Consider the following 13,460-nt stretch of genomic DNA (forward strand, 5'->3'; position numbering starts at 1 on the left):
TTTATAAATTACCCAGTCTCAGGTATTTTTAAATAGCAGTATAAACAGACTAAGACAATATACTTGTATATGTTTCTTTTCTCAGTGCCTGAGTTTCCTCATCTATAAAATGCAGCCATAAACAATACCTGTCTTAAAGGGTTGTGGTTAGAATTAAATGAGTATGTAAAGAGTCAAACAATATCTGACCTATAGAAGTGTCATATGCTTTAGTTAATATTATAATGTTATTGTTTATTTTAAAAATCATCATGCAAAACAAAGCTGTTATAAGTGTATTTTGCTGAACTTTGTTACTTTTTAGACAGCTAAATGATGCACATCTTCCAATTTTCTATCCACAGATGGAAGATTGATTGCATAGAGAGGATTCTTTACAAAATTTTCTCTAAGTCCAGGTATTTTCAATACTTTTTTCTGGTAAGAACATTTAACATGAGATTTATCCTTTTAGCAAATTTTTAAGTGTACAATACAGTATTGTCAACTACAGTTACAATGCTGTACAGCAGAACTCTAAACTTAATCAGCTTGCATAAGTTAAACTTTATTCTCATTGTTAAAAGATAAACTTTGGCATAAACTTTTAAAGAGTTTATTTGAGCAGACAGGATTCATAAATTGGGCAGCTTCAAACTAGAAGCAGTTCTGGGGCTCTATCCAGGGGCATGAGGAGAATGCTTTTATAGGGTAAAGATGGAAGCAAGCCAAAGAAAATATTTGATTGGTTAAAGAGGAGCGGTATCCTTATTTGGATCATTCCAGTGGAAAGTCCGTATTTAGAGGTGAGTTGGTGCTTTCTGATTGGTTAAGACAATTTATGCAGAGTTGGGCTTCAGTTTGCTTACACAGGAACCCAGGGCACTGGAGCCATCTGAGTCTACCAGCCACACAATTAATTATTTTAAACCATTTAATAGCAGCTCCCCTTCCTCGCCACTCTCACCTCCTGGTAGCTTCCACACTACTCTCTCTGTGAGTTTGAATATTTTAGATATCTCATATAAATGAAGTCATGCCATATTCATCCGTGTCTGACTTATTTCAGTACAATGTCCTTCAAGTTCATCCATGTAGTCACATATAGCAGAATTTCTTTCTTCTTTCTTTTTTTCCTTTTTGCAGAGAAAAAGGTCTCACTGTGTTGCCCAGGCAGGTGTCGAATTCCTGGCCTGAAGTAATCTATCCACCTGCCTATGTCTGCCTCCCTAAGGGATAGGTTTACAAGTGTGAACCACTACACTCAGCCAGAATTGATTTCTTTCTTTCTTTTTCTCTTTCTTTCTTTCCTTCCTTCCTTTTCTTTTTTTCTTTTTTTTTTTTTTTTTTTTTTGACGGAGTCCCGCTCTGTCGCCCAGGCTGGGGTGCAGTGGCGTGATCTCGGCTCACTGCAAGCTCCACCTCCTGGGTTCACGCCATTCTCCTGCCTCAGCCTCCCAAGTAGCTGGGACTACCGGTGCCCACCAACACGCCCTGCTAATTTTTTGTATTTTTAGTAGAGGCGGGGTTTCACCGTGTTAGCCAGGATGGTCTCCATCTCCTGATCTTGTGATCCGCCCGCCTCCGCCTCCCAAACTGCTGGGATTACAGGCGTGAGCCACCGCGCCTGGCCTCCTTCCATTGTATTACATTGTTTACATATACCATATTTCCTTTATCCAAAATTTTAGTTAAATTTTTGACTTACAAATGTAAACTCCAAGTGAAGTATATATTAATAAAAATTCCTTTAAGTGTTTCTTCTATTATTTTTCAAATGCCTCTTAAAATTGATATGGTAAAATTTTAAATCATTCTACTAGATTTGTTCTTCAATATATTAAGTCACTGTTGTGTTATCATGAAAAATATAACTTAGTAAATTCTGCCTCTGCTACACGTTCTCTTGTCAAAATGTTTGTTATTTTTAACATTATGTAAACCTTAAGGAATGATGGATTTTGTCCCATCTGTTTGAGGAAAAAAATCTTTGATGTTGGAATTTGAAAATAAAATAATTATTACATTTTCTCACCCTCACATGCCAAGAACTCACCAAAATCTTGTCACTTGGCATAAAGTCTCTAAACACTTATCAAGGATGTTAAATCATGCTTATAATATAGTTTTATTATGGCTGCTGCTTATAGAGTGAGGGGTATCCTAATATGCCACCCATAATATGTCACTTTGGCAGAGGCAATTGAGAATCAACAGATGCACAAAGAAGTTTCCCTTATCTGACTAATAGCAGCATATTCTGAGAAATAGGGCTACCATAAATTTCTTCTTCAAGATGGATGTAACCTTAGAAGGGAGGTGAATAAAACCTACATCAAATCCCTTCTCTAGTGAAGTTTTATGGCCCTGAAAGAGAGGAAAAGACTATTCAAACCTATACAGACAAATATTACCACGTTCTTCTTCCATTTCTTCTCCTAAAAAGAGAAGATCTATTTATCTTTCCCATATATGTCTTTTGTCCCCACTCCCTTTCTCCTACTAAGGTAGGTATATGAGTCTCTAACCATTTAAGGAGCTGTCTTTTGTGGGCTCCCATATGCATACAGAAAAATTATTTCTCTTGTTAGTCTGTCTGTTGTCCATTTAATTCACAGACCCCAGGAAATAAACATAGCAGAGTAGAAGAAAAGTTGTTTTCTTCTCCTACAAGGGTTAAATTGTATACTCCCAAATAACAAAATTAAATAATAGACTAATAATCATGTTGACCTTTAAGTTCTTGCCATGTGACTGCCTTTTGGAAGAAATCACTTAGAAACCAAATTAATCTATTTGATACATTAACATAGCACTTTGCTGGATGAGACCCAACATTGATCTGAGTGAGATCAAAGTCTATTCTGTGCAGGTAGTGCTAACACACAAGCAAGCCTCATGTCACTTTTAAAAAGGACAGTCTCCATATTGGCCATGCTCATGCTTAGGGAAGGAATCGTCCTGGCTAGCAACCCCTACTGTCCATGCAGCTCATGGCCAATCGTGTTTTTGCTATGTTTGGCCCCTCTTCTAACACACTGTCAAATGTCCTCTGTCCCTATGTCCACTGTCATCTACAATTTTTCTTTTAAATATTTAGGGCCCTGCAGACACAACCCCAGACATCTGATACATAAAATATGCCCTTTATATATATTTCATTTTCAACTCACCTGGGCTTTAAAGTTAACAGTGTGAAGGATTTTGCAAATAGATAAGGGAGAACATTTTTCCTTCTAGTTCTAGGTAGCATTTCTTACTCTCATCCTATCTAAAAGGGAAAATGTATAGCAATAAACATGTTACCTTGTTCTTTTTACTTGGGCCTTTTTTTTTTTTTTTTTTTTTTTTTTTTGAGACAGAGTCTTGCTCTGTCGCCCAAGCTGGAGTGCAGTGCAGTGGCGCGATCTCCGCTCATTGCAAGCTCCACCTCCTGGGTTCACGCCATTCGCTTGCCTCAGCCTCCCGAGTAGCTGGGACTACAGGCACCCACCACCACACCCGGCTAATTTTTTTGTATTTTTTTTAGTAGAGACGCGTTTTCACCATGTTAGCCAGGATGGTCTCGATCTCCTTATCTCGTGATCCACCCGCCTTGGCCTCCCAAAGTGCTGGGATTACAGGCGTGAGCCACCGCGCCCAGCCACTTAGGCCTTTTTTTACTCTCTGAAATGTAGTGCTTCAAACACTAAGTATTTGGCTTTAAAGTTAGCTTGTTTTGTAATATTAAAAGGACAGAAGCAAAATTAAATATGAGAGGCTACTAAATACAGAGCTCCAGAAAAGCTACATGAATGTGTTTTGCCCCATTAAACCCCAATAATGCAGTAATGTTGTTAATGGCTTGGAACTGCTGTTGGGATATGATTCCAATAGGACTCATTTGATCAGCAAATTATGTCAAAGAACACAAACAAGTGACTTTAATAAATGGAGCATCTTTAAACCTTTTAATTGCTTGTGAAACTTAAGTCTGGAAGCAGTAAAATTGTAACCAAAAATACATGACAATTTTAGTTACTTTTCTGCTTTCAAAGAAATAAAATAATTGTCTCATACCTACCTCACACAACAAAGCTTTCTGTTGATCATCTATCTAGAATCTTTGTGTTTTCAGTTAATAAGAAGCAGTAGTATTTAGAATTATTCCTTAAGGGTCTGACTGCCAGTTCTACTTAGAAGAAGGATATGAAATTGGAGAGTCTTATTCAGTATTGACCATAAAAGCCCTTTGTTCCCCATGAATTAAGGTTCCAGGAGTCATCATTAGTCATCCGATGAGCTTTACATGTGCGTTGCTGGACATTGGTACATACACCAGTCTGGAAGACACTCTCCATTCTATAAAATCCCATCTTATCTAACTTAGGACATGTCTATATAATAGACCTATTTGTGCATTTTGAATCCATTGGCCTTATAAATCTATTTAAATTGAATAGCATTGAGATCTTTCAAACAAAGTATGCCTGCAGTAAATGCTGTAGAAGTAAAATAAGTGGGTCACACACCAATTGCCTGTATTCTACAATGTAGAACAGTGAAGGAGAGCAGGCCCAGCAGTGCTGAGGCATAGCAAAGCTTACAATGGGGTTTCTTTCGAGAATGTGTGAGCTGCTTCTTGCGCTGCACTCTAAATACCATGCAGAAGGTCAGGATTTAATTTGCCAGCCTTCCATCGAAGGGTAATTTGAAGCCTGCTTCTTATAGTCTCCCATCCCCCAATGTGATGAAATTTAGCCCATAGAACATATTTCCATGAGAAAGAGGCATCTGTATTTCTGCCATTACACAGGCGTCACCTCAGCATTCCTTTCTACCTACCAAAAACTTTTGGAAAAAGGGATTCATTTAATCTCCTTTTTAATGTGACCCAATATGTTTTCACAAATGGGAGATTTTCTCAAATGTGGCATTCATAACACTCTGTGTGGGTTTGTGTGGCATGAGTAAATCAAACAGGAACCTCACCATTTTGACAGTCTGATTTAACTGGACCATTTTAAAGCACTAAAGCAGCCAAGAGCAAACACAGACAAGCCAACCAAGGAATTTTTAAGTTGGTCCAATTGAACCACATGTTTATTCACACAGACAACCTCCATCACCTGAAAAACTCCGAATTTAATTATATTCCATGGTTTTAAGGATTTCATTAGAGATTTTTAAAGACAAGAGTTACTCTGTACCCTACCTATCAAAAGAAATATTTGTGGTTAGCAGAGCTGCGCCTGCATGATCTAGACCCATCATTGCCACTCTTAATCACTACATCATCATCAAAAAATCCCGACAGCATGCTTGGGCCAGTACTAGACATAATTGTTTGGTTAATTCCATAGGAAGCTTGATTCACTGAATTTAATTGGAACCAATCTACGCTATTGGTTTTCTCTTTAAGCACTAAGAGGCAAATGAGCCCATTGTGTTTCATGTAGAATAATCAGCTTATAATCTGTTCATTTAAGCAGAAGGCTGACTTAGACAGACTAGCTTTGACCAGACTTACTCAACCACGATGAAATCAACTTCCATCCCAGTTCTACAATGTGGTGACTTTGTATCTGATACCGCAGTCTTTGTGTTGCCAGCGCTTAGTCCTCTGAAGATGTACTTCAGTCTACTTGAGGATCCCAAAGAGATGACCAAGAAAACAAGCTCACTTCAGAACAGTTAGCAATTTTCCAGCTACTTTAAGAGATAAGAGAAATTCTCTCATACCTTTCAGTCAGCTGTTAAGTTTCATGGTCCATGTAAAGGGAGGAATTGGTTACTGAAAAATCAAAGGATCTCTTTACTGCCAGTGCAACTATGTAGAACTAGGAAATCTATAACCAAAATGAATTATGATACAGAAACACAGATCTTTTGTTCTCTGAACTCCACAAAAACACTGAACAACAAAAAAAGAAACTTTGGACAAAAAAAAAGTATAGGTTAAAAGGGGGAAGAATTTATTTGGCCAAAGGGAAGAAAAGAAAAACTGACTCCAAGAATACCTGATACATGAAGAGTTTCTTCTTTGTGATATCTTAGTTATTGACCTCAATGAACCAAGAAGCCAGGGAATGAAGAGCTCTTAAAACATTTTCTACTTCAAAGAATCCAAAATTCTATATTCAAACATGACGATATAATAGACTTGAAAATAGTATAAACAATTTTTTTGCATCAATTTAGCAAACACAGTGATGTGTTGCTTAACAATGGGGATACATCCTAAGAAATGCATCGTTAAGTGAATTCATTGTGCAAACATCATGGAGTGTACTTACAGAAAGTAGATACAGAACCTACTACACACATAGGCTATACAGTATAGCCTATTCTCCTAGGCTACCAACCTGTGCAGCATGTTACTGTACTGAATACTTATAGGCAATTGTAACACAATACTAAGTATTTGCATCTCTAACCATATCTAAACATAGAAAAGGTACAGTAAAAATAAACTATAAAAGATAAAAAATGACGCGACTGCATAGGGCACTTAAATGGAGCTAGCAGGATGGAAAGTTGCTGTAGGTGAGTCAGTGAGTGAGTGGTGAGTGAATGTGAGGACCTAGGACTCTAGACTTTATAAACACTGTACACTTAAGCTATACACATTTACTTAAAATATTTTTTCAATAATATATTAACCTTAGCTTACTGTTACTTTTTTACTTCATAAACTTTTAAATTTTCTAACTTTTTGACTATTTTCTAATCATACAGCTTAAAACACAAACACATAGTACAGCTGTACAAAAATATTTTTTTCTTTATATCCTTATTAATATAGTGTGGACATTTGTCCCCTCCAAATCTCATGTTGATATGTAATCCTCGATGTTGGAGGCAGGGCCTGGTGGGAAGTGTTTGTATCAGATTCCTCATGAATGGCTTGAGCTATCCCCTTGGTGATAAGTGAGCTCTAACTCTAAGTTCACATGAGATCTGGTCATTTAAAAGCATGCAGTACCTCCCCCATGCCCCACTCTCTCTCTCGCTCCTGCTTTCGCCATGTGACGTGACTGCTGCCGCTTCACTTTCTGCCATGATTGTAAGCCTCCTGAGGCCTCGCTAGAAGCTGAGTAGATGCACGGGCCATGCTTCCTGTAAAGTCTACAGAACCGTGAGCCACTTAAACCTCTTTTATAAATTAGCCAGTCACAGGCATTTCCTTATAGCAATGTAAGAATGGCCTAATACACTTATTCTATAAGCTTTTTTCTATTAAATTTTTTTTTTACTATTTAAACTTTTTTGTTAAAAATTAAAACACAAACACACACACATTGGCTTAGGCCTACACAGGGTCAGGATCATCAATATCACTGTCCTCCACCTCCACAATTTGTCCCACTGTGAGGTCTTCAATGGCAATAACATGCATGGAGCTGTTATCTCCTATGAAAACAATGCCTTCTTCTGGAATTCCTCCTGAAGAACCCTCCTGAGGCTGTTTTACAGTTACTTTTTTTTAAAAAAATAATCAGAAGGAGTACACTCTAAAATAACAAGTATAATATAGTAAGTACATAAACTAGAGTCATTTATTATCATTATCAAGTATTATGTACTGTACATAATTGTGTGTGCTATGCTTTTATACGACTGACAGCACAGTAGGTTCATTTGTGCCAGCATCACCACAAAGACCTGAGTAATGAGTTGCACTGTGATGTTAAGATGGCTACAACATCACTAGGTGATAGAAATTTTTCAGCTCCAATAAAACTACCATCACATATGTGGTTCGTCATTGACCAAAATGCTGTCGTGCAGTGCACGCTTTATTTTTAAGAGCTTATCACATATTCAGCTATGTTCATCTTCAACAATGTAATACTTTAGTGCTCTGTAAAAATTCTCTTTGTAATTCTATTCCTTGAGAGTCATGATACCTGCATTCTGCCTTAGCTCTTTCACTTTGTATATATGAGTATTTATGTCACTTACATGTCGTAAAATCCGATTTCTCATATTCTTTTCAGCTCAGGACCTAAAGCCAAAAAGACCTAAGTTTGAATCCTGTCCCAGATATGTAACAACTGTAATAAAATAACACATTTTAAACTTCTATAAGCTTCAATTTGCCCATGTGCAAATGACGATAATAATAGTATTTTCCTAATAAGGTTAGTATGAAGACTAAATGAAACAATGCGTGTAAAAGAACTTGTAATGCAGAAGTCATAGTAAATGTAAAATAAATCTTATTATTCTTATATAAGTGAAAACACATATGTTTTTGCAAAGTATTAATTTCTGCCGTTACGGATGTTATATCCTCGTGGGGGCGGCAGGCAATAGATAATATAATTCCAGGTAGTGGTAAGTGCTGGGCAGGAAAATAAAACGGGAGAAAAATGTCAGACAGCTGTGTGGAAGGTTGTTCTAGACAGGGAAGACCATTCTGCTGGGGCAACATGTGCACAGAGATCTGCCTGGTGCGCAGACATCAGCCATGCTTACATCTGGAGGCAAAGTCCAAAAGGCCCCAAGAAAAATATTTAGTCCCCAAGGAGGAAATTAACTTGGGGAAAAGGGAAAATATCTATGGTGGAGTCAGAGGAGAGAAGGGTCACCTAAGAGGAATCAGGCCAACCTTACAGGCCATAGGAAAGACTTTCTATTGAACTTAACTTTGGAAAGCCATTGAGCAATTTTGAGCAAGAGCAGAACTTGATCTCATTTATTTTTAAAGATCATTCCAGGGGCTGCCTTCAGTTACTCTATTACAAATCATAGCTGTACTTTTTGGTATTCTTTCTATCTTTCTTGTACTTTTGTGTCCCTTTACCCAAACACCAATTTTCTTTCTGAAAAGGCTCCTGGGTCTATCTCAAAACATCACCAGGAGAAAAATAAATTTATATTTCTGACTGGGAAATAGGCTCGGTTTTAGTACGTCTTAGGATAAAATTGTATTTTTTGGAATGGAATATGCTACACTGACATTTTTAAGATTAAACTGTATCGTTTTAGTTATGCCAATACAGCTTTTAAATAAGTTTTCTCCATATCGTTATCAATATTTACCATATTTCTCAAATATTCATATGAATGTATTCATTTGGAAATTTTTGGGAGCTAATTACCACAATTATACCTGTAAAAACTTGTATGTCCTCTAATCACAATGCTGCAAGTTTATAACTGTTTTTAACATTAGTGTTTATATAATTTATTTTTAAGGTATAATTTCATATTCTCTGGTTTATTTAGCACTTGATCAAGACCCAAGGAGTCAGTTTAACTGACTGTGTGACAGCAAATTTCTTAACCATTTATGACTTTGGTTTCCTCATCTACAAAATAAGGATACTAGATTGAAAGTGATGGGGTTATTTTTCCTTCCACAAATGTTATTGTAAGCATTCAACCAAGCATTTATATATAAATTGTATGCCATTTATTCATTTACTCGGCTAGTCTTTTCATTTAGTCTGGCTTTCCAATACTTCCCTTAACTTTTGATATTTTAATTTTTCATATAGTCTCTTCTTTCTTAGTTAGTATCTGACTAGCTTCATATAGAGTAAAAATAAATTTTAAAAATTTTAATTATGTGCTGGTTTTTCTTACATTCCCCAAAATTAGCTTTCTTAATTTCCCTATATGACAATATATTGCCCATAGATTATCAATTGAAAATTAAATCTTAAATAAGTCCTTGGGAAATAATGTAATGGCATTATATCATTACTGAATAAACCAATTTTGCCTAAAATTGGCTCCTAAACATTATGATTTTGGACTTACACCAAGTCTTAGGCTCTGAAATGGCACTCCCTCCAAAGCTACTCAGATGGTCTAGATTCTAGACTAAGAAAAGAATGGAAGAGAAGAGAATACTCCAAATGCTGCTGTGTTTCTTTGCCCCTATTTTAGGAGCCTAGATCTAAAGATTTCTTAATTTCCCTTCTACTTCTATGATAAGGTACCTACAAAAGTTGGAGTTAATCCAAAGAAAAGCAATCATTGGTAGCAGATTTAGTAAAAGGAGATCTTAAAAGGCTAACTACTCAATAGTAACAAAAAAGGGGAAATTAAGCAATGCTCACTACATGTCTGGAAAATATTAAATGATGCAGAACAATGGGAAATTTATACAGGGTATAAAAGCATAAATCAGGAGTCAATGAAAGGGACATATAAGCAGACTAGATTCTGGACGAGCATTTCTCAACTCTCACATGCTGTGTCTCATGGTGTTGCTGGGAATGTTCTCGGAACTGTGGAATTTTTCAGTGTGAAAAACTCATTTCTGTTAGAAATGCAGCTACATAATATTATAATGTGAGCACTTAGAGTAGACTTGACGAAGTGGGATACAGCTAGCACTAAGGAAAAGATAAGAAGGCATAATGTCCAAACAATATTGAAGAAAAATTATGTATTTACAAGACTAGACAAGAAATTTGCTTTGTGACTATAAGACAGAATGTAGAACAGCAAAGAGTTTTTCTCAAAGGCACGGTTCAGAAAAGCAATCAAATAAATAATGTACTATCTATGGATGCTTTTCTAAAGTCTGTGAGATCTTGTTATAAGCAGAAATGTTTTTATTGTAAATTTTTCTGATTTGTTTTGAGACTTTCAAGTGTTACAAATTTTCAGCAACAGTTGTATTCAAAAGGGTGTCCCACACACAAAAAGGCTGTCAACCAATTACATAGAAGAGTGATTTTAATTCAGGGTGGGGGAGATAAGCATCACCACATCCCTAGTTTCTTACATATAGCCCAAGCGACCAGGCCACCATGATTTTTCCCAGAATTATTGATGTGTTGAAGCAAAAAAATTATTTTTTTTTTGTTTTTTTTTTTTTGAGACAGAGTCTCACTCTGTCGCCGAGGTTGGAGTGCAGTGGCACAATCTCGGCTCACTGCAAGCTCCGCCTCCCGGGTTCACGCCATTCTCCTGCCTCAGCCTCCCGAGTACCTGGGACTACAGGCACCCGCCACCACGCCCAGCTAATTTTTTGGTTTTTTTTTTTTAGTAGAGATGGGGTTTCACCATGTTAGCCAGGATGGCCTCGATCTCCTGACCTCGTGATCCACCCACCTCAGCCTCCCAAACTGCTGGGATTACAGGCGTGAGCCACCGCGCCCAGCCAATTAAATTGTTGTAAGTTTGAGAAAAATGTGCTCTAAAAAATATTTCTAACATTGTAATCAATCTGTGTGTTAGTCCTTTCTCACACTGCTATAAAGAGTACTACCTGAGACTGGGTAATTATAAAGGAAAGAGGTTTAATTGACTCACAGTTCCGCAGAGTGAACAAGAAGCATGGCTAGGAGGCCTCAGGAAACTTACAATCGCGCAGAAGGTGAAGGGGAAGCAGGAGCCTTCTTCACAAGGCAACAGGAAGGAGTCTGTGCAAGAACAAGGAAGTGCAACACTTTAAAACCATCAGCTTTCATGAGAACTCACTCACTATCAGGAGAACAGCATGGAGGAAACCGCCCCCATAATGGAATCACCTCCCACCTGATCCCTCCACTGACACATAGGTATTACAATTCAAGATGAGATTTGGGTAGGAACACAGAGCCAAACAATATCAATCTGTGATTACCTGATTAGCTTTAAAAAAAAAAAAAAAAAACCACATCATGAAATTATTTAAAACGAAATTGAAGGGATCTGTAGACCATATGTCCTGGCAATTAAACTGTTCATAAGAAATAGTAATGAGTCTATAAACTATAAGTTTTTTCCTTATTATTCAAAGATAATATAATTTTGCATTTAGTTATGTCACTTCAGGCTCTAACTAACTTATTGAAATGTAACTTTATTTAAAGAGTCATATTACAATTTGCACAGAAGCTTTTTTTTTTTTTTTTTTTTTTTTTTGAGACGGAGTCTCGCTCTGTCGCCCAGGCTGGAATGCAGTGGCGCGACCTCGGCTCACTGCAAGCTCCGCCTCCCAGGTTCACGCCATTCTCCTGCCTCAACCTCCCGAGTAGCTGGGACTACGGGTGCCCACCACCATGCCCGGCTAATTTTTTGTATTTTTAGTAGAGACGGGGTTTCACTGTGTTAGCCAGGATGGTCTCGATCTCCTGACCTCATGATTCACCCGCCTCGGCCTCCCAAAGTGCTGGGATTACAGGCATGAGCCACCACACCTGGCCAGGATAACATGAATTTTTTTAGGAAGCAAATAGATTATATGAGATAAGATGATAAAGGAAGTTTTATTTTACCTACTCATATAAGAGTCTTCTTTTTAATCTAATTCTGAAGGAGAATTTTGCCTGAAGAAAAGAAATGTAATTAAATGGTAAATTTAAGCCATCTTAGGTGCCCATACACATTGTCCATATTTAATTGCTTAATCTGATTATATTCTAGAATACTTTTAAAATTGTTAATATTGTGAAACATCCTGAATGATGAAAAGAGGTTTTATAATATTGCTACTCTTAATGAATGTTTTACAAATGTTCAGTGCTTAATAAGGTTTCAGGTAAGAAAAAAATACAAGGGAAATGATAAGAATAGCTGTTCCGTTGAGAATTATACAATATCTAATTTGGATAACACAGTGACTTAGTCTTAATTTGTTCCAACATTCACTTGTACATTAGAATGAACAGCTGGTTAATTTAATAACTTCTGTTATAATTCATTTGCTTCTTTGTTATAATTTTTGTCTGCTTGTTGTTTGTCACTTAATACCATGGAAATATTTAATTCTTAATATAAATATAACATTTAAAAATTGCACAAATATTTCCTTCTTCATGAAACAAAAAAAAATGTTTCTAGTATTTGGATTATTCTCATGTGATTGTAGCTCTCAATAAATTGAAATCTCATTTCTGACTTCTAAAACTTTTCCAAAGAACATAAAATTGGGCAAAATTATTTCATTCTGATTCCACAATTCTACTACTAAAATTAGGTTCTTATTTATTTGTTCATTTTAGTTATGGCATAAAGTCAAGATGACCTATTTGTGAAAGTTTCTTCCATTTCTTTCCCAAAGCAGGCCCTTATAGACAACAATAGTTTCTCTCGTCTCTTTATTTTTTTAAGGTCTCTGATGAAATTCTGTTGCTTTTATAACTAAATTCTTGAAGCATAAAGTCCGGTGTGCCAGAAAGCATTTACAGGAGTAAGTATAACACCTCAAACATTATGATATGGGACGGAACTGTTAGGTACATAGAAGAGTCCTCGTTAACTGGATCTGCAGTTCAATCAATGCACTATAATCCAACTGTTTCAAATTATTAACGGGAGACTTTAAAAACCATAGTTTATTAGAAAGGTGCATATGAGACCTTAGACATATTTCCTCTAACTACTAATCTGTAGCTTGGTATTTTAATTTCTTGTACCAATAAAATCATGAATGCCTATGGAAAGCAATTGTTGAGTAAAATAATATGTTATTGGCTATCATAATATTGTTCATCTACTAAGCAAATTAATATCTATAATAGGCAGTAGATTAATATCTTTAATACACCTAAACC

The 13,460-nt window shown here is 36.5% G+C and overlaps 1 long non-coding RNA gene across 1 annotated transcript in view; it reads right to left on the bottom strand.

Moving 5' to 3' along the window:
* The window catches only part of RNF217-AS1 (RNF217 antisense RNA 1), a 54,785-nt gene that overhangs the window by 15,530 nt on the left and 25,795 nt on the right, over nucleotides 1-13,460 (bottom strand). The window contains exons 4-5 of the long non-coding RNA NR_026876.1: nucleotides 11,236-11,345; nucleotides 7,924-7,966 (exon numbers count right to left, since the gene is read on the bottom strand). This is a non-coding gene — a long non-coding RNA (RNF217 antisense RNA 1). The remainder of the gene's footprint in view (nucleotides 1-7,923; nucleotides 7,967-11,235; nucleotides 11,346-13,460) is intronic.

This window comes from Homo sapiens, chromosome 6, assembly GCF_000001405.40.
Source record: "Homo sapiens chromosome 6, GRCh38.p14 Primary Assembly".
Classification (NCBI taxonomy): domain Eukaryota; kingdom Metazoa; phylum Chordata; class Mammalia; order Primates; family Hominidae; genus Homo; species Homo sapiens.